At 43.7% G+C, this 25,452-nt stretch overlaps 1 protein-coding gene across 102 annotated transcripts in view, besides 2 other annotated features; it reads left to right on the top strand.

Moving 5' to 3' along the window:
- Positions 1 to 25,452, top strand: part of CELF1 (CUGBP Elav-like family member 1) — a 99,603-nt gene that overhangs the window by 16,026 nt on the left and 58,125 nt on the right. For 21 of the 102 annotated variants that reach the window (NM_001376442.1, NM_001376460.1, NM_001376433.1 and 18 more), the window contains exon 1: positions 24,810 to 24,990. The exons of 68 other annotated variants lie outside the window; for them this stretch is intronic. The gene's annotated coding sequence lies outside the window, so the exon portion shown is untranslated. Of the gene's footprint in view, positions 1 to 12,783; positions 12,895 to 24,809; positions 24,991 to 25,452 lie in introns of those variants that run through there. 13 more of the 102 variants (NM_001376458.1, NM_001376448.1, NM_001376446.1 and 10 more) reach the window with 1 other exon arrangement.
- Positions 6,848 to 7,347: an enhancer, noted in NCBI's record as "H3K4me1 hESC enhancer chr11:47563719-47564218 (GRCh37/hg19 assembly coordinates)". NCBI's record gives its function as "activates a minimal SCP1, AML or CMV promoter by ChIP-STARR-seq in naive H9 embryonic stem cells {active_cell/tissue: H9 hESC(naive)}" and the evidence as "EXISTENCE:reporter gene assay evidence [ECO:0000049][PMID:30033119]".
- Positions 24,617 to 24,676: a silencer, noted in NCBI's record as "silent region_3331". NCBI's record gives its function as "represses an Ori minimal core promoter by ATAC-STARR-seq in GM12878 lymphoblastoid cells {active_cell/tissue: GM12878}" and the evidence as "EXISTENCE:reporter gene assay evidence [ECO:0000049][PMID:35858748]".

Genomic DNA, 25,452 nt, shown 5'->3' with positions numbered 1-25,452 from the left:
GTGACCGGATTTATTTCCTTTTTAAGGCTAATACTCCATTGTGTATATATATATATCATATTGTTTATGGACTGCATCCACTAATGGACTTTTGGGTTGCAGCTACCTCTTGGCTATTGTGAATAGTGCTAATGTGACTAGGTGTGCAAATAGGTATTCCAGCCTCTGGAACAATATCAGTTGTTTTGGATATATACCCCAAAGTGGGATTGCTGGATCAAGTGATAATTCTGTTTTTAATTTTTATTATTTTGAAAGAATCTAGGCCACTGGAATAGTGTTTTTTTATTTGTTTGTTTGTTTTTTGAAGAACCCCTATACTTTTTTCTATAGCAGTTGCACCATTTTACAGTCTTGCCAGTAGTACACAAGGGTTCCAGTTTCTCTACATCCTTGACAATACTTTTTATTTTTTCATGGCCATCTTAATGGGTGTGAGATACCTCACTGTGGTAGTTTTGATTTGTATTTCTCTGCTGACTAGTGATGTTGAGCATCTTTTCATATGCTTGTTGGCCATTTATATATTATCTTTGGAGAAATGTCTGTTCAAGGCCATTTCCCAGTTTTTAATCAAGTTTTTTGATTTTGTATTGTTGAATTATAGAAGTTCTTTATATTTTCTGGATTTTTTTTTTTTTTTTTTTTGAGATGGAGTCTTGCTCTGTTGCCCAGGCTGGAGTGCAGTGGTGTGATCTCTGCTCACTGCAACTTCCGCCCACTGGGTTCAAGCCATTCTCCTGCCTTGGCCTCCTGAGTAGCTGGGACTACAGTCATGCGCTACCACGCCCGGCTAATTTTTGTATTTTTAGTAGAGAGGGAGTTTCACCATGTTGGCCAGGCTGGTCTCGAACTCCCAACCTCAGGTGATCCGCCCGCCTCGACCTCCCAAAGTACTGGGATTACAGATGTGAGCCACCGCACCCAGCCTCTATTTTCTGGATATTAACCCCTTATTAGATAGATGATTTGCAGATATTTTCTCCCATTCTGTAATTTGTCTTTCACTTTGTCGATTGTATGCTTTGATACACAAAATATTTCATGTTCGATATAGTCCCATTTGTTTATTTCTGGTTTTGTTGCCTGCGCACTTGGTGTCATATCCATGAAATCATTGTCAAATCCAATATCATGAAGTTTTTCCTCTATATTTTCTTCTAGGAGTTTTATAGTTTTAGGTCTTACATTTAGGTTGTTTTAACCTTTTTTTTTGAGACGGAGTCTCACTCTGTCACCCAGCCTAGAGTGCAGTGACTCGATCTTGGCTCACTGCAATCTCTGTCGCCCTGGTTCAAGCGATTCTCCTACCTCAGCCTCCCGAGTAGCTGGGATTACAGGTTCCTGCCACTGTGCCTGGCTAATTTTTGTATTTTTAGTAGAGACGGGGTTTCACCATCTTGGCCAGGCTGGTCTTGAACTCCAGACCTCGTGATCCACCTGCCTCAGCCTCCCAAAGTGTTGGGATTACAGGCTTGAGCCACCGTGCCCGGCCCGTTTTAACCATTTTTAAGTGTATAATTCAGTGACATTAGTTACATTGAGGTGTTGTGCAATCATCACTGTGATCTTTCCAAAATGTTTTCATCACCGCATACAGAACCTCTGTAACCATTAAGCAATAACTCTCAATTTTCCCCTCCCCCCAGCCTCTGGTAGCCTCTAATCTATCTTTGTTTCTGTGAATTTTCTTATTCTAGATATTTCATGTAACTGGAATCATGTAATACTTGGCTTTTTGTGTCTGGCTTATTTCACTTAGCGTGTTGTTTTCAGGGTCCCTGCATCATTTTGTAGCATGTATCAGGACCTAATTTCCTTTTTTTTTTCTTTTTTTTTTTTTTGAGATGGAGTTTCGCTCTTGTCGCCTAGACTGGAGTGCAGTGGCGCGATCTCGGCTCACTGTAACCTCCGCCTCCCGGGTTCAAGCTGCCTCAGCCTCCTGAGTAGCTGGGACTACAGGCATGAGCCACCTAGCCTGGCTAATTTTGTATTTTTAGTAGAGATGGGGTTTCACCATTTTGGCCAGGCTGGTCTCAAACTCCTGACCTCAGGTGATCTGCCCGCCTCGGCCTCCCAAAGTGCTGGGATTACGGGCATGAACCACCGTGCCCAGCCCTAATTTCCTTTTATGGCTGTGTTCCTTTACTTCTTGAGGTCAGGAATGTCTCCTTTATTTTGCTATCTTCTCCTCTCTTGGAGTTCTATAAAGGTTCAATTGATTACAATTCATGCTCTTCATATGGATTGCCAATCACAGAGAGACGTCCACTGACATATTCAAACTTCTTGAAAATACAAATATGTCAGCATGTATAAAGTGGTCTATAACGATAATCCAAATCACTGTTTATAGCATTTTAAATTTCTAATCTAGTCAGATTTTCCTATCTTTGAATATACAGCATTTTCTTTCTTTCTTTTTTTTTTTTTTTTTTTTTTTTTTTTGAGGTGGAGTTTCGCTTTTGTTGCCCAGACTAAAGTAATGGCATGATCTTGGCTCACCACAACCTCTGCCTCCCGGGTTCAAGTGATTCTCCTGCCTCAGCCTCCCAAATAGCTGGGATTACAGGCATATGCCATGACCCCCAGCTAATTTTTTGTATTTTTAGTAGAGACGGAGGTTTCTCCAGGTTGGTCAAGCTGGTCTTGAACTCCTGACCTCAGGTGATTCACCCACCTCAGCCTCCCAAAGTTCTGCAATTACAGGTGTGAGCCACTGTGCCTGGCACAGCGTTTTCAAAAAATGTGTGCTGAAAAAGTATCACATGAAGAGGATAAGAATTGACAAGTTCCTGCCTTTGCTTTATACCTATAATATATGAATGGCTTTCTTAGGTGGACCAATTTCTAGGTATCTTATGTTGTGCACAGATAAATTTGTAAATCTGTCATTAATGGCCTAGTTAGAATAATACTTTCAGGTATGAACATTTCAAAGATACTCATAGGTCTCTCAGTTTGTTCTAGTGTGAAGAAAGTTGGCCCGGCGTGGTGGCTCATACCTGTAATCCCAGCACTTTGGGAGGCCAGGGTGGGCGGATCATCTGAGAAACCCCGTCTCTGCCAAAAATACACAATTAGCCAGGTGTGGTGGCGCATGCCTGTAATCCCAGCTACTTAGGAGGCTGAGGCAGGAGAATCGCTTGAACTAGGGAGACAGAGGTTGCAGTGAGCCAAGATCAAGCCACTGCACTCCAGCCTGGGCTACAAGAGCAAAACTCCATTCCCTCCCCCGCCCCCGCCCCCGGCCCCCGCCCAAAAAAAAAAAAAAAAAGATACTGAGAGTATCTGTCAATTGCATGAAAGGCCTTTCTCCTATTTTTCTCCCTTAAAAAGATGTAGGGAGGCCGAGGCAGGCAGATCACAAGGTCAGGAGATCGAGACCATCCTGGCTAACACGGTGAAACCCCGTCTCTACTAAAAATACAAAAAATTAGCTGGGCATGGTGGCAGGCACCTGTAGTCGCAGCTACTTGGGAGGCTGAGGCAGGAGAATGGCGTGAACCCGGGAGGCGGAGCTTGCAGTGAGCTGAGATGGCACCACTGCACTCCAGCCTGGGTGAGAGTGGGAGACTCCATCTCAAAAAAAAAAAAATATATATATACACACACACACACACACACACACACACACACACACGCAGACACACACACACACACGTATACATATGAGAGAGAGGGGCTGGGCATGGTGGTGCATGCCTGTAATCCCAGCACTTTGGAAGACTGAGGCGGGCAGATTGCTTGAGCTCAGGAGCTTGAGACCAGCCTGGGCAACATAGCTAGACCTCATCTCTACAAAAAATACAAAAATTATTGTATTTTCCTACAAATTTTGTAAAACTTTTCTACTAAAAAAAGAAGAAATAGAAATAAGGTCTCTGGCAGCTAGGCAAACTTTATGCTGTAAGACTTCAGATTCACTCCTTGTTATTAACCTCTTAATGCTCCTTGTTATTAACAATATGTTCCTTATTAACCTCTTAATAACCTCTTAATAACTCTTGTTATTAACCTCTTAATAATGAGTATTGGAGACTTTATGGTTCTGAATGAAGGTCAGTATTTATTTGTTCTTTTGAGACAGAGTCCCGCTCTGTCGCCCAGGCTAGCGTACAGTGGTTCAATCTCGGCTCACTGCAACCTCTGCTGGGAGGGGTTCAAGCAATTCTCGTGCCTCAGCCTCTCAAGCAGCTGGGATTATAGGTGCCCGCCACCATGCCCGGCTAATTTTTGTATTTTTAGTAGAGATGGGGTTTCTTCATGTTGGTCAGGCTGGTCTCGAATTCCCGACCTCAGGTGATCCGCCCACCTCGGCTTCCCAAAGTGCTGGGATTACAGGCATGAACCACTCCACCCGGTCTTAATTTTTGTATTTTTATTAGAGATGGGGTTTCGCCATGTTGGCCAGGCTTGGCCAGGCTGATCTTGAACTCCTGATCTCAAGTTATCCGCCTGTCTGGGCCTCCCAAAGTGTTGTGATTACAGGCATGAGCCACCATGTCTGGCCTATTCTTTGATTCTTGATTTTTTTATTTTTATTTTTTTGAGAGTGAGTGTCACTGTTGTTACCCAGGCTGGAGTGCAGTGGCACCATCTCAGCTCACTGCAACCTCCACCTCCTGGGCTCAAGTGATTTTCCTTCCTCAGCCTTCCGAGTAGCTGGGATTATAGGCATGTGCCACCATACCTGGCTAATTTTGTATTTTTAGTAGAGATGGGGTTTCTCCATGTTGGTCAGGCTGGTCTCAAACTCCTGACCTCAGGTGAACTGCCCGCCTCAGCCTCCCAAAGTTGATTGCTATTAATATAATCCTATAGTTACCAGAACACGTATACTAGAATTACAGTACACTGAAATGGTCAAAAGGCAAATAAAATAGAAATAAGAAAATTTTGATGAAAATCTGGAGAATTAAGTCTTTCTGTAATTGAGAGTTGATTTTTTGATTGTGGAATCCTTGAAATGGTTTGAAAGAATGATGTGACTTGAATGGGCTTTATAAACACAGCCTGGTAAGGATAGCTGTGACAGCTTGGGACAGTGGATTTGGGGTACCACCAGTTAACATTTCTGGCCCTGTTTTCCTGTCTTTAAAGTGGAGATACCAACTCAGAATAGTAATGTGAGGATTAATTGAGGTAACTTATGCTAGGCACTGAACAGTGCCTGATACAGTATTGATAATGCTGTTTCTTTTTCCATGTGTAAAATGGGCATACCACTAGTCTCTTGGGTCAGTAATGCATTTCAGCCAAATGAAATAAATAACACAGGTGAACTGCCTAGGAGTGCCATACATAGATGAGCAGTAGCTACTATGTCAGTGTTCCTTTTGTTCCCTTTTATGAGTGCATTTTGTTTTGCATTTTCTTGTGTCTGTTGTGGCTTAAGGGATAAGATTTGTGTGTCTGAAATGCTGTGCTAAACAGGACGTTGTTCCTTGTGGAATACTTGGGTAATATGGTTTCCTAGATTTCATATTCACTATTTCTACTTTGAGAGTCTACTGTTAGGAGGCTTCTGTGTTCAAAGAAAACTGAAAATTATAAATGAATATTTTGGATTTGTAATAGGGGACACTTGGGTCTCTTCGTAGTTTCAAGTGACAAGTTGAGGCGGGGAGGAGGGCTCTAATATTTAGAGTTGTAATGCAGATTTAAGACTTAATCAGTTTTAGCTATTTGCTTTGTAAACTATATTGTATCAAGAGTCCTTATTTGCCGAAAACAGCTTTCTTTTTTTTTTAGAGACGGGGTGGGGACAGGGGTCCACGGGTCCGCTATGTAGCCCAAACTGGTGCAAACTCTTGAGCTCAAGCAGTCCTCCTGTCTCAGCCTCCTGAGTAGTTGGGATTGATTACAGGAGGGCAACATCATGACTGCCTTGAAGACAGTTTCCTTGATGAGACCTTTGTAAAATAACTTTGGTCTTGTCATAGAATTGGCTTAGAATCTTCTTAAAGTAGAGGTTTCTTTATAGAATTCTATAGTTATTTTTTAACCTCTGCTGTGCTGTGGAGGCCATGAGTACATATTTGTTTATTTTACACTTCATTAAGTTCCAGATTTGTAAAGTTTGGGGCTTTTTTGGGCTGTTGTTTTCCGAGACAAGGTCTCATTGTGTCACTCAGGCTGGAGTGCAGTGGCGTTATCGTGGCTCACTGTAGCCTCAACCTCCCAGGCCTCAAGTGATTCTTCCCCACCTCAGCCTCCCAAGTAGCCGGGACTATAGGTGCGCAACACCACGCTTGGCTAATTTTATTTTTTGTAGAGATGGGGTCCCACTATGTTTCCCAGGCTGGTCTTGACCCCCTGGTCTCTAGCAATCCTCCTGCCTCGGCCTCCCAAAGTGCTGGGATTACAGGCATGAGCTACCATGCTGGCCTTCTTTTCCATTAGAGACAGGATCTCTCTTTGTTGCCCAGACTTGAGTGCAGTGGTGCAATTATAGCCTGGAACTCTTGGGCTCAAGCGATCCTCCAGCCTCAGCTTTCCGAGTAGCTGGGACTACAGGTGCACACTGCTACACCTGGCTAATTTTTGTAGTATTTGTAGAGACGGGATCTCTCCTAGTCTTGAACACCTGTCCTCAAGTGATCCTCCTGCCTTGGCCTCCCAAAGTGTTGGGATTACAGGTGTGAGCTGCCGCACCCAGCCCTGTTGATATTTTCTAAAGATGAGCACAGTCCAGCCCTGTTGATATGTTGTAAAGCTGAGCACGGTGGCTCACGCCTTTAATCCCAGCACTTTGGGAGGCCAAGACACGCGGATCACGTGAGGCCAGAAGTTTGAGACCAGCCTGGCCAACATGGTGAAACACTGTCTCTACTGAAAATACAAGACTTAGCCAGATGTGGTGGTGCGTGTCTGTAATCCCAGCTCCTCAAGTGGCTGAGGCACAAGAATGGCTTGAACCCAGGAGGTGAAGGTTGCAGTGAACTGAGATCACGCCACTACACTCCAGCCTGGGCAACAGGGAGACCCTGTCTCAAAAAAAAAAAAAAAAAAAAATGGAGAAAGTATCAAGAATGATGAGGTTTTTTTAGTGATTGCATTGATACCTAATGGATCTCACTTAATCAAATTTGATGTGCCACTTTTAGATATGTTCATGGGTGCAGATACGGCTTTATTTATTTGAGACAGAGTTTCACTCTTGTTGCCCAGGGTGGAGTGCAGTGGTGCGATCTCAGCTCACTGCAGCCTTCGCCTCCCGGGTTGAAGCGATTCTTCTGCCTCAACCTCGAGTAGCTGGGATTATAGGCACCTGCCAGCATGCCTGGCTAATTTTTGTATTTTTAGTAGAGATGGGGTTTCACCATGTTGGCTAGGCTGGTCTCGAACTCCTGACCTCAGGTGATCCACCTGCCTCGGCCTCCCGAAGTGCTGAAATTACAGACGCACGCCACCGCGCCCAGCCCAGTACGGCTTTAGAAAGAACTCTCCACTAACTTTATGACCTCCAGGTCTTCTTTTTATAGCTACATTCAGCTTTGACAAAATGGAGTTGAATAATTTTACTTTCTTTCTAAGTTATAACTCCATTAAAACTGTGTTTTGGGGGGGAATGTCTTTAGTTTGGGGATTATGCAAAATGAAGTTTTTTGATTCCTGGGCTGTGTAATTTTGTACTGTTATACTTTTAATTTCGAAGGGTCAGTAGTTTCCATTTTCTTTCTTTCTTTCTTTCTTTCTTTCTTTCTTTCTTTCTTTCGTTCTTTCTTTCGTTCTTTCTTTCGTTCTTTCTTTCGTTCTTTCTTTCTTTCGTTCTTTCTTTCGTTCTTTCTTTCTTTCTTTCTTTCTTTCTTTCTTTCTTTCTTTGACAGTCTCGCCCTGTCACCAGGCTCTGGAGTACAGTGGTGAGATCTTGGCTCGCTGCAACCTCTGCCTCCTGGGTTCAAGCGATTCTCCTGCCTCAGCCTCCCAAGTTGCTGGGATTATAGGCATGCGCCACCACACCCAGCTAATTTTGTGTTTTAAGTAGAGACGGGGTTTCACCATGTTGGCCAGGCTGGTCTCAAACTCCTGACCTCAGGAGATCCACCCGCCTTGGCCTCCCAAAGTGCTGGGATTACAAGTGTGAGCCTCCACACCTGGCCAAGTAGTTTCCATTTTCATAGTAACATTGCTACTCTTTAGCAAAATAATCATTAAGTTAGAAACTGTCACCACTTTCTCCTTGTTCTTTTACCTTTTTGTTTCCTGTGAGATTGAGTAAGCTCTTGCAGACTGTGTGAATATGTATGATATTGGTGATAATGTGAGGTGACTAATAGTCTACTGTGAGTAGATTGTCTTTTTTAACCCAGTATTATTTGGACATCTGTTAAGTTTTTGTTAATTTCTGTTTTGTACAGATAATTTGCTGTACGCTTTTTCCAGTTGCTTTGTACTTCTAGCTTTTGTGTATGGGAAACATTCTACTTTTCAGCTCCAGCCGCTTTCCCTCACACTGCAGTCACATAGCTCAGCTAGTGTTTCTTTCCTGGATGAATTCTGTCTGGGTGTTGCTGCTGCTAACTTACCATGCTAGATCGGGTGGGATATTCTCAGTGAGAAACACCTGTGCCATTTACTGGCTGCTTGCCTGTTTTTTGTTTTGTTGTTGTTGTTGTTGTTGTTTGAGATGGAGTCTCTCTCTGTCGCCCAGGCTGGAGTCCAGTGGCGCGATCTCGGCTCACTGCAGCCTCCACCTCCTGGTTTCAAGCCATTCTCCCTGCCTCAGCCTCCCAAGTAGCTGTGATTACAGGTGCCCACCACCATGCCCGGGTAATTTTTGTATTTTTAGTAGAGACGGGGTTTCACCATCTTGGCCAGGGTGGTCTTGAACTCCTGACCTCGTGATCCACCCACCTCGGCCTCCCCAAAGTGCTGGGATTACAGGCGTGAGCCACCGCGCCCAGCCTGCTTGCCTGATTTTGAGTGCTCTCTGAGCAAGAGTCTCGTGGGGGCCGAGGAGTGAAAGGAAGTCAGGGTGGTGATGACAGCTTGAAAATGCATAACTGTTTGACATTTGTCAGCTAGTGGGTGATTACTGCATGATGAAGCAGCACTGCTTTGTGTTCAAAGTCATTTTATAGCAGGCTTTCAACAAGGATATTTTACTGGAAGCTGTTTATGTGGTAAAAGATTATTTATCCCTTAGGTCTGTATTTCCTAGATGGCTAGAGCAAGAGGAGCAGACATCACATTTCGTGTTTAGGAATGCTCTTCAGCCCCTCCATGCTCATGATTCAGTATTTGTCATTTAGTGCACAGCTAATCTTTTTCATGAGGCTTTTCCTGTCCATTCATTCCTGTACCTGATTTAGTATTTTATTATTTCAGCAAGATTTTAAGCTTTTTGAGGATGGAAACTGCCTTACTGCTTAGTGTATTGCATATACTTTAGGGGAGTGGTTCAGGCATATAGTCCCTACTCTAATTATACCTTGTGATTTAGCCCCTCTTGTAATATCTTATTGCACCAGAGGTGGACACCTGGCCCAAGCTGGGCAAATCACTTTGTCCTAGGAATTTGAGATTAGAACTGAGATTCAAGTCTTTAAGATACAAATAGTCACCTACATTCAGAGAACTCAGGACATAAAATCAGATGCTGGTATGCAGCCAAGTTCAGGCTCGTACAGGTGGAAGCAGTGAAGGTCATTCCGTAGGGAGGGAGAAGTAAGTAGATTTCATCTGGAAAGAAGCATAGATGAGAAATGCAGCTCTGGAGAGAGGGCAGCCATCCACATGCAGAGCAAAAATCTGGATGCCTAAAGACTTTCCAGGTGTGGGCCTGTTTGGAGTTCTTGGAGTGGTCTAGTACCCTTTCAGTTAACTCTAGTTTTTATGTAAGCTTTCTGTTATTTTCAGCCGAAATAACTTTGAGTTAGACTTAGTACAGAGCTCTGCACAGCACTTGTAAAATTTGAAATTTAGAATCATCTTGTCAGGGATCATGGCTCTTTGGAAGAGTAGCTGGGATTACAGGTGTGTGCCACCATTCATGCCTGGCTGATTTTTTGTATTTTTAGTAGAAACAGGGTTTCACCATGTTAGCCGTGACTGGTCTCGAACTCCCGACCTCAGGTGTTCTGTCCGCATCGGCCTCCCAAAGTGCCGGGATTACAGGCTTGAGCCACCACACCCAGCTGTTGGGAAGAGTGCTTTTTCCCCCATACCCTCCTTAGCCCCAGGCAAAAGGCCGCTGGAGGTCTTGACTCCTTCAGTATATATATTTGCATTTGGTGTTTAGAATGCTTTGCCAGATCAAGATTATGAGTTTATTTTTTTAACAAGTTTTTTATAATTATTTGTTTTTAATTTTTTTAGGAATATGAGCCTGTTAAAAATAATACTGCTATTTCAGATAGGAAACTTAAAGTGAGCCATCAGTTTTAGAGAATTTTTGTTTGTGAGGCATATGGATTCAGTCTTTTCTTCATTTCTAGTTAAGTGGCGTTTGTTTTAGTTTCCTGATTGTTTCCTCTTAAAAAAATGTTGATGGGCTTGAGTGGAACACAATAATGTGGGTTGAATGGCTGTTGAGACTTTAAACAAAGGGTAATGGTGAATGGCTGTGTGCCCAGTTGATGGAGTCTCTCTGGTCCCAGCTCAGTAACTTCATGAATGATCTGTGAGAGGAGCATCACAGTGGTGTTTTTCTCTTTGAGAAATGTTAATAAGGGAGAGGGGGAAGCTCTGAGAAAGACAGTTTAGCGCTTCTAACGTGATTTTGTTTTTTTCCTGTGATATTTTGGTTTGTTAGGTTGAAAGACTTTATTCCAGAGAAATGTAAACATTCCCTGTAATACTAATGAGCAGGAATTAAAAAGAGACAAGCTAGTTTTGAAATGGAGATTTTTTTTTTTTTTTTTTTTGAGACGGAGTCTTGCTCTTTTGCCCAGGCTGGAGTGCAGTGGCGCGATCTCGGCTCACTGCAAGCTCTGTCTCCCGGGTTCACGCCATTCTCCTGCCTCAGCCTCCCGAGTAGCTGGGAGTACAGGTGCCCACCACCATGCCTGGCTAATTTTTTGTATTTTTAGTAGAGACGGGGTTTCACCGTGTTGGCCAGGATGGTCTTGATCTACTGACCTCGTGATCTGCCCGCCTGGGCCTCCCAAAGTGCTGGGATTAGAGGCGTGAGCCACCACGCCCAGCCAAAATGGAGATTTATATACAACCTGGTACACAGCCAACATCAAGATTCTGTCTTCCATATATAGATAATGTAGGATAGAAAAAGCTAGAAGATATTATTTGATATCAGAGATCAAATGATGATTGCAAATATATCTAAACAATATTATGGGCCAGGCATGGTAGCTCATGCCTGCATTACCAGCACTTTAGGAGGCTGAGGCAAGAGGATTGCTTGAGGCCAGGAGTTTGAGACCAGCTTGGGCAAATACAGGGACTCTGTCTCTACAAATAAAATTATTTAGCCAGGCATGGTGGTGCACACCTGTAGTCCTAGCTATTTGGGAGGCTGAGGCAGGACTCAACTCCTTGAGCCCAGGAGGTTACAGAAAGCTATCATTGTGCCAATGTACTCCAGCCAGCCTGGGTGAAAAAGTGAAACACCTTTCTTTAAAAAAAAAAAAAGAAAAGAAAAAAAAGAAAACAAAATGATTATGCCTTTATGTGTTGTGTGTATCGTACTAAACCCAGTGCTGTGCATAGAGGAAATTTTACAGTCTATAGTGTTACATAAGTACTGGGGCCTTGCATAAAGTAGATATCTGGTAATTATTTGTTGACTACTCCATGTCTAGTCAAATGGCACTTTAATTTTATGTTTTGGAACAGTTCAGTATTAAGGATTAGTAATAGGAAAAAGACTTAACATTTTAATTCTGTGAATTTAAGTCATTGTCTTCTGAAGATGGAGTACTTTAAAAGCTCCAAGGAGTTATCTGGAAAAAAAATGTAAGCAGCTTTCCATCAAAAGACATTATGGTTAAGGTTTGTACTGTAGGCCTGGTGTGGTGGCTCACGCCTGTAATCCCAGCACATTGGGAGACTGAGTCGGGTGGATCACGAGGTCAGGAGATCGAGACCATCCTGGACAACATGGTGAAACCCCGTCTCTACTAAAAATAACAGAAATTTGTTGAATGTGGTGGTGTGTGCCTATAGTCTCAGCTACTCAGGAGGCTGAGGCAGGAGAATTGCTTGAATCCAGGAGGTGGAGGCTGCAGTGAGCCAAGATGGCGCCACTGCACTCTAGCCTGGGCGACAGAGTGAGACTCTGTCCCAAAAAAAAAAAAAAAAAAAATTTGTATGGTAAAAACCTTGTGGAGCTCTGATCTTGAAACTTCGTAATTTTTATTGCCTGAACAGTCAGAAGGCTCCTAGACAACTCTGATTTTGGCTCAGTTTTCAGTAGCTCCAAAGAATAAGAAAAGGATAATCTGATATTGCTGGCAGTCTGCACTCTTGCCTTTCTGGGCCAAGACATGCTTTTCCAAATAAAATCAAGGAAATAGTAAACCACTAGTAAAAATGAATAAAGCATCCAAGAGTTTGCCTCCTGTCATGTCCTGTTTTCTCCTTTTTGTTTCTAGGCTGTTTGATATTAAACTCATGTGCCAAAACTATACTGTGGACTTGTCCTTCCTACTTCCCCTTTCAAGCTGATGGGAAATAATTATGGAAAGACATTATGTTTATTATATATTCATTGTTTTTATTGCGTGCTATTTCTGTTTAATAGTCTCTGCATACATTTACAAGTGCAATTTTTATTTTTTATTATTATTTTTTGAAATGGAGTCTCACTCTGTCACGCAGGCTGGAGTGCAGTGGTGTGTTCTCAGCTCTGCAGCCCCCGCTTCCCAGGTTCAAGTAACTGCCTCAGCCTTCTGAGTAGCTGGGATTACAGGTGTGCACCACCACGCCCAGGTAATTTTTGTATTTTTTTTAGTAGTGACGGGTTTTCGCCATGTTGGCTAGGCTGACCTCCAACTCCACCTGACCTCAGGTAATCTGCTCACCTTGGCCTCCCAAAGTGCTGAGATTACAGGCATGAGCCACCACACCCGGCCTACAAATGCAGTTTTTTAAAAAGCTTTGCAAACCTCTTTACTGAGCTAATTTGGGTTATAGATAGCATTGGGAAACTATCTATCAGTCTGTCTATCTATCTATCTATTTATTTATGACAATCTCGCCTTGTCGCCCACGATGGAGTACAGTGGTGCAATGTTGGCTCACTGCAACCTCCGCCTCCCGGGTTCAAGTAATTCTCGTGCCTCAGTCTCCAGAAGAGCTACTACAGGCCGTTGGCACCATGCCCAGCTAATTTTTCTATTTTTAGTAGAGATGAGATTTTGCCATGTTGGCTAGGCTGGTCTCAAACTCTTGGCCTCAAGTGATTCACCTGCCTCAGCCTCCCAAAGTGCTGGGATTGCAGGCTTGAGCCACCATGCTGGCCAGAAACTATTTAAAAACAAACTCTTGGGCTGGGTGCAGTGGCTCATGCCTATAATCCCAGCACCTTGGGAGGCTGAGGCGGGCGGATCACAAGGTCAGGAGATCAAGACCATCCTGGCTAACACAGTGAAACCCTGTCTGTACTAAAAACAGAAAAAATTAGCTGGGCACGGTGGCACACGCCTGTAATCCCAGCTACTTGGGAGGCTGAGGCAGGAGGCTCGCTTGAACCCAGGAGGTGGAGATTGCAGTGAGCCGAGATTGCACCACTGCACTTCAGCCTGGGCGACAGAGCAAGACCCTATCTCAAGAAAAAAACAAAAACAAAAAAACTTGTGGGCATGCTACAGGAAAGCTTAGGTGAGTAAATATAGCAAAACAAGACATGATTTATTTTTTTTTTTTTTTTGAGATGGGGTTTCGCTCTTGTTGCCCAGGCTGGAGTGCAGTGGTGCAACCTTGGCTCACTGCAACCTCCACCTCCCCGGGTTCAAGCGATTCTCCTGCCTCAGCCTCCTGAGTAGCTGGGATTACAGGCATGCCCCACCATGCCCGGCTAATTTTCTATTTTTAGTAGAGACGGAGTTTCTCCATGTTGGTCAGGCTGGTCTCGAACTCCTGAACTCAACTGATCCGCCTGCCTCGGCCTCCCAAAGTGCTGGGATTACAGGTGTGAGCCATCTCGCCCAGCCCAAGACATAATATGTTTGTGGAGTATCTTAATAACTATTGCCTACGGTAGTTAATGGTATATCTTATCTCCATAGAACCATTTTTTTTTTCTTTTGGTTTGTGAATTTGTTGTATGAATTGGTTCTGAGTTTGGTTTTCAACACATTTAAATGGAATTTATATTTAGGTTTCAGTAGTTATTAGTGTGAGGGATACTCTTGAAATTTGTGCCAGGTACTTTTCTGGCTCAAACTATTATGGATCAGGCGTAGGGTAGCTGAAGTTCTAGATTATTACTGTGAAATCAAGTGCTGTTTTTGTTAATGTTCATTTGTCTGGTATAAGTTTGCTCTGGGGCTAAGCTAGATCTATGGAAAGACTTAACCCTTTTCCAGAAAGCTTCCAACTTAGGGAAAAAAATTTTTTTTTTTCTAATTCTGACTGTTCCACTTCTGAAAAAAACAGATCCACAGATCAGACTTGTAAATGATCTGTTTTCTTAAGATATCTTCTAACAGAATGGGTCTCCAGGGAACTGAGTGACAACACACATTTAGCTGGGAGTGGCAGTTCATCTCCCTAAACGTAATTTAACATCACATTTATCTACACACTACAGTTTTGGAGGCATACTTGGAGATTGAACTTATACTTCTCTTGGCTTATTTTATTTTATTTTATTTATTTTTGAGATGGAGTCTCGCTCTGTCGCCTAGGCTGGAGTGCAGTGGTGCGATCTCTGCATACTGCAAGCTCCACCTCCTGGGTTCACACCATTCTCCTGCCTCAGCCTCCCGAGTAGCTGGGACTACAGTTGCCCACCACCACGCCCGGCTAATTTTTTGTATGTTTTTAGTAGAGACAGGGTTTCACCATGTTAGCCAGGATGGTCTCGGTCTCCTTACCTTGTGATCTGTCTGCCTTGGCCTCCCAGAGTGCTGGGATTACAGGCATGAGCCATGGCGCCCGGCCAGCTTTATTTTTATAATTTTGTGTCTGATATATTTCTAACATAATTGTGTAGAGAAGCTGAGATTTCTTGAACTTTGGAAAACATTGAAATCTTGATAGAAAAAATACTAAATATGGCCAGGCGCCGTGGCTCATGCCTGTAATCCCAGCACTTTGGGAGGCCAAGGCGGGTGGATCACCTGAGGTCAGGAGTTCGAGACCAGCCTGGCCAATGTGGTGAAACCCCATCTCTACTAGAAATACAAAATATTAGCCGGGCATGGTGGCAGGCGCCTGTAATCTCAGCTACTTCGGAGGCTGAGGCAGGAGAGTAGTTTGAACTAAGGAGGCGGAGGTTGCAGTGAGCAGAGATTGTGTCACTGTACTTCAGCCTGGGCAACAAGAGTGAAACTCTATGTCCAAAAAAAAAAAAAAAAAAAAAAGGAAAGAAAAAATGCTAAATATAACTTATGTTGTGGTCTGGAAAGAAATAGCAGCATACATAGGTCATAGAAACTTCAGTTGAGTTTATATTGATGTAGCTGCTTTTATGAAGAGGGAGGGGAAAAACTAAGAGTTGAATATATTTAACTATTGTGCAACAGAGTGTCACTAAAATAGTTATAAATATTCCTTTTTTTTTTTTTTTTTTTTTTGGGGGAGAGTCTCGCTCTATTGCCCAGGCTGGAGTGCACTTGAGCAATCTCAGCTCACTGTAACCCCTGCCTCTTAGGTTCAAGTGATGCTTCTGCCTTAGCCTCCCAAGTAGCTGGGATTGCAAGTGCCCGCCACCATGCTCAGCTAATTTATGTATGTATGTATGTATGTATTTATTTATTTTTTGAAATGGAGTCTCGCTCTGTAGCCCAGGCTGGAGTGCGGTGGTGCGATCTCAGCTCACTGCCACTTCCGCCTTCCGGAGTTTAAGCAGTTCTCCTGCCTCAGCCTCCTGAGTAGCTGGGACTACAGGCATACACTGCCATGCCTGGCTAATTTTTTGTATTTTAGTAGAGAGGGGGTTTCACCATGTTGCCCAGGCTGGTCGTGAACTCCTGAGCTCAGGCAATCTGCCTGCCTTGGCCTCCCAAAGTGCTGGGATTATAGGCATGAGCCACTATACCCGGCCAATTTTTGTATTTTTAGTAGAAATGGGGTTTCACCATGTTGGCCAGGCTAGTCTTGAATTCCTGACCTCAAGTGATCCCCCCGCCTCAGCTTCCCAAATTGCTGGTATTACAGGCGTGAGTCACTGCGCTTGGTCTAATATTTCTTCAGAAATGTATACTGTATGGTACTATTTCTTGAAGGTAGCTTGCTGAAATAATAAGATCAGCTTTCTGAATTGCCAGATCCAGAACATCAAAAAAAAAAAATACTGTGATAGAAAAAAAAAAGCCTTCTGGATCCACCCCCAGGAATCCTAGTGGGTTCCCATGGTAACAACCTCTTTGCTTACAACTTGTCACTGTGTAACTGTCACTGGGGTTCAGAGAAAAGCCAGTATAGCAAGAACTGTGTGGCATTAACAACTCCTTAATAAAATGCTGTTGCACATTTGCAGTGAGCCAGAAATAGAAAAGAAAGTTTAAAGGTTTTAATTTCTGTGTTCCGTTAATTAGAAGCTTTAAAAAGCTGCCTAATTATGGTAAGGTGCTGCAGCAGTGGGAAGGTGGTGGGTGGCCCAGGCTGGCATAGGAGGGAGAAAAAGTAAGCTATAGGCTGAAAATGCTAGAAACTTCAGAGATTTTTTTCTTCTTTAATCCTATCATTTTGAAAATGAGGGACATGGAATGCCTTACTTAAATTCACATAGAGATAGAAGCAGGAATTTTCCCAGCACTGTTCTGTTGTTTCTACCCACACATTGGATTCACCTTTCCTCTACTTTTCATAGTGAAATCAGTTTCTGAGGTTAGCAAAGGACCTTTACAAAAGTTATGCAGAGAAACTTTCTATCCATGGAAGGAATCCCTTCTACAGCATCCTGGGCAGGCAGCGTCTGCCTCTTTCCTCAGGTGGAGGTGACTTGTTTAATTGGCAAAAGCCCCTGTACTGGAGTTCAAAGGGAAGATAGTTTTATGTGGATTCCCCATTTTAAAGCTATACATTGTTTTTCTCTCATCATAAAAGAGCAATTGTACACTGGGCATGGTGGCTCACGCCTGTAATCCCAGCACTTTGGGAGGCCGAGGTGGATCACCTGAGGTCAGGAGTTTGACACCAGCCTGGCCAACATGGTGAAACCCGTCTCTACTAACAATACAAAAATTATTTAGGCCTGGTGGTGGGTACCTGTAGTCCCAGCTACTCAGGCAGCTGAGGCAGGAGAATCGCTTGAACCTGGGAGGCGAAGGTTGCAGTGAGTTGAGATTGCGCCACTGCACTCCAGCCTGGGCGACAGAGCGAGACTCTGTCTCAAAAAAAAAAAAATAAAAATAAGAGCAGTTGTAATCAGAAAAATTCCCAAATGTTTTTCAGTAGCCTGTTTATCTCCATTTAAGTCATGCTTGTCAGTCATGACAAGAAAAATAATTCTTTAAAGGAATTATGTCATGCCTAAACCCTAGAACTTGGAAAAGATAATGCCATATTTGGAACAAGCTAGTTCTTTAACAAGTGGGAGGGAAGAGATGATGATAAATGCTATATTGAGTTTAAAGTACTTTACAATGTGCTTAACGAGAGGAGATGATTTTGAGCTAAAGAATATCAAAACAGGCCTCAAAAATACTTCTAAGGCAAAATCAGAAGCCAAGTAGGCAAATTGTTTTGTGTTTTTGTGGTGCATTTTGCGAATGCTTTTGTCATTGTTTCTAGAGTAGGTATATCTATACAAAAGTGAGCTTGGGGTTCAAAAATAATATTTCGGGTCTTACTGTTTGTTTGTTTGTTTGTTTGAGATGGAGTCTCGCTCTGTTGCCCAGGCTGGAGTGTAGTGGTGTGATCTTGGCTCACTGCAACCTCTGCCTCCCAGATTCAAGCAATTCTCCTACCTCAGCCCCCAGAGTAGCTGAGACTATAGGCGAGTGCCACCACGCCCGGCTAATGCTTTGTATTTTTAGTAGAGATGGGGTTTCACCATGTTAGCCAGGATGGTCTCTATCTTGTAACCGTGTGATCTGCCCACCTTGGCCTCCCAAAGCGCTGGGTTGACAGGCGTGAGCCACCGCGCCTGGCCTGTTTGTTTTTTTTTGTTTTTTGTTGTTGTTGTTGTTGTTGTTTTGATTCGGAGTCTTGCTGTGACAAGCTGGAGTGCAGTGGTGCGATCTCAGCTCACTGTAACATCGACCTCCCGGGTTCAAGTGATTCTTGTGCCTCAGCTTCCCGAGTAGCTGGGATTACAGGCATCTACCACCATGCCTGGGTAATTTTTGTATTTTTAGTAGAGACGGGGTTTCGCCAAATTGGCCAGGCTGGTCTCAAACTCCTGACCTCAGGGAATCCATCCGCCTCGGCCTCCCAAAGTGTTGGGATTACAGGCATGAGCTACCACGCCGGGCTTTTTGTTTTAAGACAGGGTGTTCCTTTGTCGCCCAGGCTTGGAGTGCAATGGCATGATTGTGGCTCACTGTAGCCTTGACCTCGTGGGCTCAAGCAATCCTCCCGCCTCAACCTCTCAAGTAGCTGGCACTACAGGCACATGCCACCATGCCTGGCTAATTTTTTCCATTTTTGTAGAGACAGGGTCCCCCTGTGTTGCCCAGGCTGGTCTTAAACTCCTGGTCTCAAGCAATCTTCCTGCCTCGGCCTCCGAAAGTACTGGGATTACAGGTATGAGCCACTGTACCCAGCCTTTTTCCTCTTCTTAAAGTCTGGTCCTCTCTCCCAGTTTTCATGTCTCACAGCCATCCTTTTGTCTCTGATACCGCTTCTTAATTCTAAACAGCTATATTCTATAAGCTGCTACCAAAGAGAGAAACATCATCCTCTCTAGACTGCCGTGGAGTCAGTGCCACATATACCAAACTGTCTGATCTGTGACTATGTCCTCTTTTGACTGGGCCCACATTAAAGCATGTCCCAAACGCTATCTTGATATATGTCCTCAGTAGCAATCTTGTTTTTTAAGCCTTCCTTTACAGGTTGATTCACAGTGGGAGAGAGCCATGTTCAGAATTTTTTTCTGATAGCCTGAATTTTCTTCTTGTCTTTCATGTCTTTGCTTCTATTTATGTTCTTTGTACCTCTTCTTCCTTGAACTTGGATCTTCTGCATAGTTGACTCTATTATATCATCTTTGGGGCTGCAGAATAAAATGTGGAAGATTTTAAAGTTAAGGTTCCCAGAATAATGTTGTCGCCCACATTGCACATATGTCACATTTTGAGTTTACTAGTTAAGCCTCTAAATATGCACTTTATATACAATATGCGCAGTGCGATGATTTAGGTTGCCATGAGAACCTAAAAATTTTAGGCTTAAATGGTTCGGTAACAGACACTTTAAAATTATCTTAGATGAAGGCTAATTTTTTCTTTTATATACTCTTTACAAACTGAGGCATAAGGCAATAGCTGTTCTCATATAGTACTTCTGCTGACAGGTTGGGTGGCTTCTTTGTTTGCCTACCTGTTATCAGTCCCCTTCATTCCAGTCTTTCATACTCTGGTGTCCTGTCCCCTGCCCAAGTATTTGTCTCTCTTTTTTTTTTAAGTCTTACCCTGTTGCTCAGGCTGGAGAGCAGTGGCGTGATCTTGGATCACTGCAACCTCCACCTCCCAGGTTTAAGCAGTTCTCCTGCCTCAGCCTCCCCAGTAGCTGAGATTACAGGTGCCTGCCACCACACCCAGCTAATTTTTTTTTTCCCGAGTCGGAGTCTCGCTGTGTTGCCTAGGCTGGAGTGCAGTGACAGGATCTCGGCTCACTACAACCTCCACTTCCTGGGTTCAAATGATTCTCCTGCCTCAGCCTCCCAAGTGGCTGGGACTATTTTTGTATTTTTAGTAGAGACAGGGTTTGCCATGTTGGCCAGGCTGCTCTCGAACTCCTGGCCTCATGTGATCTTCTCGCCTCGGCCTCGCAACGTGCTGGGATTACAGGCGTGAGCCAGCATGCCTGGCCACTAATTTTTATATTTTTAGTAGAGATTGGGTTTCGCCACGTTACCCGGGCTGGTCTCGAACTTCTGACCTCCAGTGATCCACCTGCCTCAGCCTCCCAAAGTGCTGGGAGCCACTGTCCCCGGCCTCGTCTCCTACTTTCTTTGCTCCAAGGTAGGATTAGAAGTAGAAACTGGAGCCAGGAGCTATAGTGCCAGCTACCCGGGAGGCTGAGGTGGGATAATTACTTGAACCTGAGAGGCAGAGGTTGCAGTGAGCTGAGATTGCGCCACTGTGCTCCAGCCTGAGCTACAGAGCAAGACTCTGTCTCAAAAAAAAAAAAAAAAAAGTAAAATAAACTGGGTGAGGTGGCACACATCTGTACTCAGTTCCAGATACTTGGGAGGCTGAAGTGAGAGGATCACTCCAGCCCAGGAGGTTGAGGCTGCAGTGAGCTGTGATCCTGCCACTGGACTCTAGCCTGGGAGACAGATATAAAAGTAAAAGCTGGAAGCTTTACCTTTCTTTTTTTTTTTGAGGCAGGGTCTCACTGTGTTGGCCTGGCTGGAGTGCAGTGGCGTGATCATAGCTCACTGCAGCCTTGAACTCCTGGAATCAAAATGATCCTCCTGCCTCAGCCTCCTGAGTAGCTGGGACCACAGGCAGGTGCCATCATGCCTGGCTAATTTTTGTGGCTTTTGTTTTTTTGTGGAGATGGGGTCTCACTGTATTGCTCAGGCAGGTCTCAAACTCTTGGCCTCAAGTGATACCTCTGCCTCGACCTCCCAATTTTTATTTTTATTTTTTTAAGAGACAGGATCTTGCTTTTTTCCATGCTGGAGTGCAGTGGCACAATCATAGCTCACTGCAGCCTCAAACTCCTGGCCTCAATGAACAGTCCTCCCACCTCGGCCTCCCAAAGTGCTTGTATTACAGATGTGAGCCACTGTGCCTGGCCAAACTTTAACTTTTTAAAAAAATGTGAGATGGAATAACTGTATATTGTTGTCTTGAGTCCTTAAACTGAAAATCTGGTAAAAGTTGTGAATCCATTTCCTTATAAATGCATACAGAGGTAGAGTTTTACACATAGTATAAGGAAGTTTTTTGAATTTATGAAATGTCAATGGGCCATACATATGGACCCCGATCTAGTCCAATCCCGTATTTCTCTTGAGGAAATAAGGGAGGAGAACTGACATATCAAAGGCCATACTTTACGTGTTTATAGTCATTTTGATTTTGAGGTTATACTTGGAGCAATTCCTTTTCATGTACACAACTGTGGTGTATTGCTGTGTGTTTGTTTTTGGGAGGGGTGGGGGGATGGGGGACAGATTTTCACTCTTGTCACCCAGGCCAGAGTGCAATGGTGTGATCCTGGCTCACTGCAACCTCCGCCTCTCGGGTTCAACCCATTCTCCTGTCTCAGCCTCCGGAGTAGCTGGGATTACAGGCATGCACCACCACGCCCAGCTAATTTTTGTATTTTTAGTAGAGACGGGGTTTCACCATGTTGGCCAGGCTGGTCTTGAACTCCTCACCTCAGGTGATCCACCTGCCTCGGCCTCCCAAAGTGCTGAGGTTACAGGCGTGAGCCACCACACCTGGCCTGCTTTGTGTTATTTTTACTTAGTTGCCTTCACACAAGTATTTTTAGTAGAGAACATACAGGTAATTAAAGCTGTGATCTTAAACACGAAAAAAGCATATTAATTCACAGTAAACTGCTCTTTGGGAAGTCAAAGTTGCTGTAATAGGACTGCTCAGATTCTTAAAAAATTAAATACAGTGTATACAATGAAGTCAGTATATACAATGAATAAGCCAGTATATACAATGAAGAGGCTTAATTTTTTTTTTAAGTTTTGTAGAGACAGGGTCTGTGTTGCCCAGGGTGTACTTGAACTCCTGATCTCAAGTGATCCTCTCCCTTGACCTCTCAAAGTGCTGGGATTACAGGGGTGAAACACTGCATGTGGCCCAGTTAAGAGGCTTTTACTTAAGAGGCTTTTACTTAATTTTTTTTGTTTTTTGAGGCAGTGTCTCACTTTGTCACCCAGGCCGGAGTGCGGTGGCACGATCACGGCTAACTGCAGTCTTGACCTCCTGGGCTCAAGGAATCTTCCCACCTCAGCCCCCTGAGTAGTTGGGACTACAGGCACGTGCCACCATGTCCGGCTAATTTTTTACTTCTTTCTGTAGAGATGAGGTCTCCTTATGTTTAGTGTTAAGAGGCTTTTAATAACATGTTGAATACTTGCATGTCTGTTTTATGGGACATGAATGTGCCTCTACTGCTGGAATCCTGCTGTGTACTCAGTAATGGATAGGAGCTAGGCAGTGCTTTTTTCTTTGAAGCTTTTTTTTTTTTTTAGACGGAGTTTTGCTCTTGTCGCCCAGGCTGGAGTGCAGTGGCACAATCTCGGCTGACTGCAACCTCTGCCTCCTGGGTTCAAGTGATTCTCCTGCCTCAGCCTCCTGAGTAGCTGGGATTACAGGCACGCGCCCCCACGCCCAGCTAATTTTTGTATTTTTAATAGAGACAGGGTTTCACCTTGTTGGCCAGGCTGGTCTTGAACTCCTGACCTCAGGTGATCCATCGTGGGATTGCAGGCACGAGCCACCACTGCCCGGCCTGGAACTCCTTTTGATGACTGGTTAACTTAGCAGTGTTTTATAATCAAGGATCTCATAGTTATATCAGCATAAACATTTCTAGTTCCACCATTCTATTTCCCTGTGACAGGGTTTTTGTTTTTGTTTTTTCTTAATAGTGGTTTAAAATTTATTCAACAGGCTAGGCAGAAATGTCTCAGATGGAAGAACATTTTCCTGAAAGTGTTACATGAGAAATGTTACAGTGGATGCTGAGTTATGGTCTGAATTTATTTTTATCTTAGTTTAGAATATGTTTTCTCTAAAGTAGGCAAAAACTATAATTTTGCTTCCATAAGCAGTGTGGTATTAATCTCATACTATGAAACATTTCAGGTTGAAACCACACTCAGAGTTTCAGAAATGGAGGGATCTTAGAAATCATCTTGTTCAAATTCTGTATTCTTCACATTTAAGATATCGCAGGTGCCTTCTTTTTTTCTTCCTTGAGACAGAGTTTTGCTCTTGTTACCTAAGCTGGAGTGCAATGGCACAATCTTGGCTCACGGCAACCTCCGCTTCCCAGGTTCAAGCGATTCTCCTGCCTCAGCCACCCCCACACCTGGCATGCACCACCACACCTGGCTAATTTTGTATTTTTAGTAAAGACGGGGTTTCTCCCTGTTGGTCAGGCTGGTCTCGAACTCCGGACCTGAGGTGATCTGCCCACCTTGGCCTCCCAAAGTGCTGGGATTACAGACGTGAGCTACCACTCCTGGTGCGCAGGTGCCCTTAATGAGAGTTCTGGTAGGTGGGATAAGCAAGAAAGTCTAGGTCTGTCTGTTCTCAGTCTCTCTTCTCTCTTTTCTTTCTTCCTTTTTTTTTTTTGTTTGTTTTTTTGTTTGTTTGTGGATAGAGACGGGTTCTCGCCACATTGCCCAGGCTGGTCTCAAACTCCTGGGCTCAAGTGGTCCACCCACCTTGGCCTACCAAAGTGCTGAGATTATACATGTGAGCTATCAAGGCCAGCCTCTCTTCTCTTAATGTGTATAGCATTTATAGTTTGTACCCCACGCTTTAGTGCAGTAGTCATGTACTGTCTGCCTTTATTATTAATATCTCATGTTAATCTCATCTAGGAATTAGATTGGAGGTCACTGATACTATGGTTTTGATTTGTGCTGTAGCCCCTATGATACCGAATAAATACATAACCAGGCTGGGCTTGGTGGCTCATGCCAGTAATCCCAGCCCTTTGGCAAGCCGAAGTGAGTGGATCACTTGTACCTAGGAGTTTGAGACCCGCCTGGGCAGCATGGTGAAACCCCATCTCTATAAGGGGGGAATAAAATTACATAGGTGGTATGCACTAAGTACTTCAGTAAGGGCTGAAGAATAGAATCATTTGAGCCAATCAGCCATGCATTTCTTATTGTTGGAAAATTCACTCTGGTCAGCAATTAAGCTTTTCACATACTTCACATTGAAGTGAATCTAAATGAATTGTTCTAAGTAAAATAATTTTTGGAACACAAATATTTGGCTTCTGGTTATATAAGCCATCATCCTCAGACATAGATTTTAAAAATTATATTAGAGTTTATTTTAACTTGTATCAACCATAAAATAAAAAAGAGCTCAAAACATACACAGTTGGAATGAGACCTTCATTCTGAAAGCAGCAAGGAACTAGTGAAAGTTAACATTGTTCACTCGAATGGAGAATAACCTTTTTTTGCATGTTAAATTTTAGGATTTAAATGATAAATTGAGCCTCACCACTACTGCTGATCTGGGAAGAATCTGACCTAGTAAAGGTTTTCAAATGTCTTTTCCATTTCCCGTGGCTGAGGGATTCTTGGTGTCAGTGACTGAAATTATTTGGAAGTTCCTTGACTGAAATAGAATATCTCAAACCTTATTTCAAGTACCAGCCTGTGTGTTTCTGTTTTTTGTCTGGAGCATGTGAACAGAATGCATGTGTGTGAGATAATTGGGCTTTCACTAATGGCCCCCTTTCAGCAACCATGTATGGGTAAAGCTGTTCAGTTCCCTGCTCCTCCCTCTCTGAGCACGGAGCAGAATCTGTTCTGCTGAAGCTGCTGTTCCACTTTTTAGCTTGCTATATTTGTACAGCAACAGCAGGAGCAGCCCACTAGCTAGGCCGTGTGGCCACCCTTTGGCACCCGCACCGGCTCAGACCTGCTCAGGACTCAGCCAGGGCACACAGTTTGTGTTCTTACGTGCATCCATCTGTCTGTCTGTGTGCGTCTCTGTGGAGGACTGAGGTTTTCAAGTGAAAGAGGTGACTCGTTTGTCTTTGTTGTTTTGCTGTGTTCAGGTTTGTCAATTGTAAATTGTAGAGAATGCTTCAGGTTGTTAGGGATGGGGTGAGGAGACAAGATTTGTATTTAACAAAATACCGTCTTGGCGAGAGGGTACCAAACAGGGAAATGTGATGTCAGAAATGGTCTTTGGGTTCCCTTAGAAACATACCTTGTTGAAGTGGTAGTGTTTTTTTTTTCCTCTTTGTTTTGTTACAGGTCACAAAGATCAGCTCTTGGGGTGGTATTGAATTCCTTTCCTGGCACTCAAATTTTTTGACATAAAATTTGAGTATAAAAAGATGAGGCACCTCCACCCCTTTAAGAAATGATTTAGTGCACATCTTGAAAGAGTGCAGTAGGGGTTAAGTGTGTTGACTTCGCTGTCTGCCAGGAAAGGAACTGTGGGGAATGCCCTGTTGCTTTGGGCCCCACAGCAACCT

The sequence above is a fragment of the Homo sapiens genome, chromosome 11 (assembly GCF_000001405.40).
Source record: "Homo sapiens chromosome 11, GRCh38.p14 Primary Assembly".
Taxonomy (NCBI): domain Eukaryota; kingdom Metazoa; phylum Chordata; class Mammalia; order Primates; family Hominidae; genus Homo; species Homo sapiens.
The sequence above is the reverse complement of the archived record's forward strand: the minus strand, read 5'-3'. Positions and strand labels throughout refer to the sequence as shown.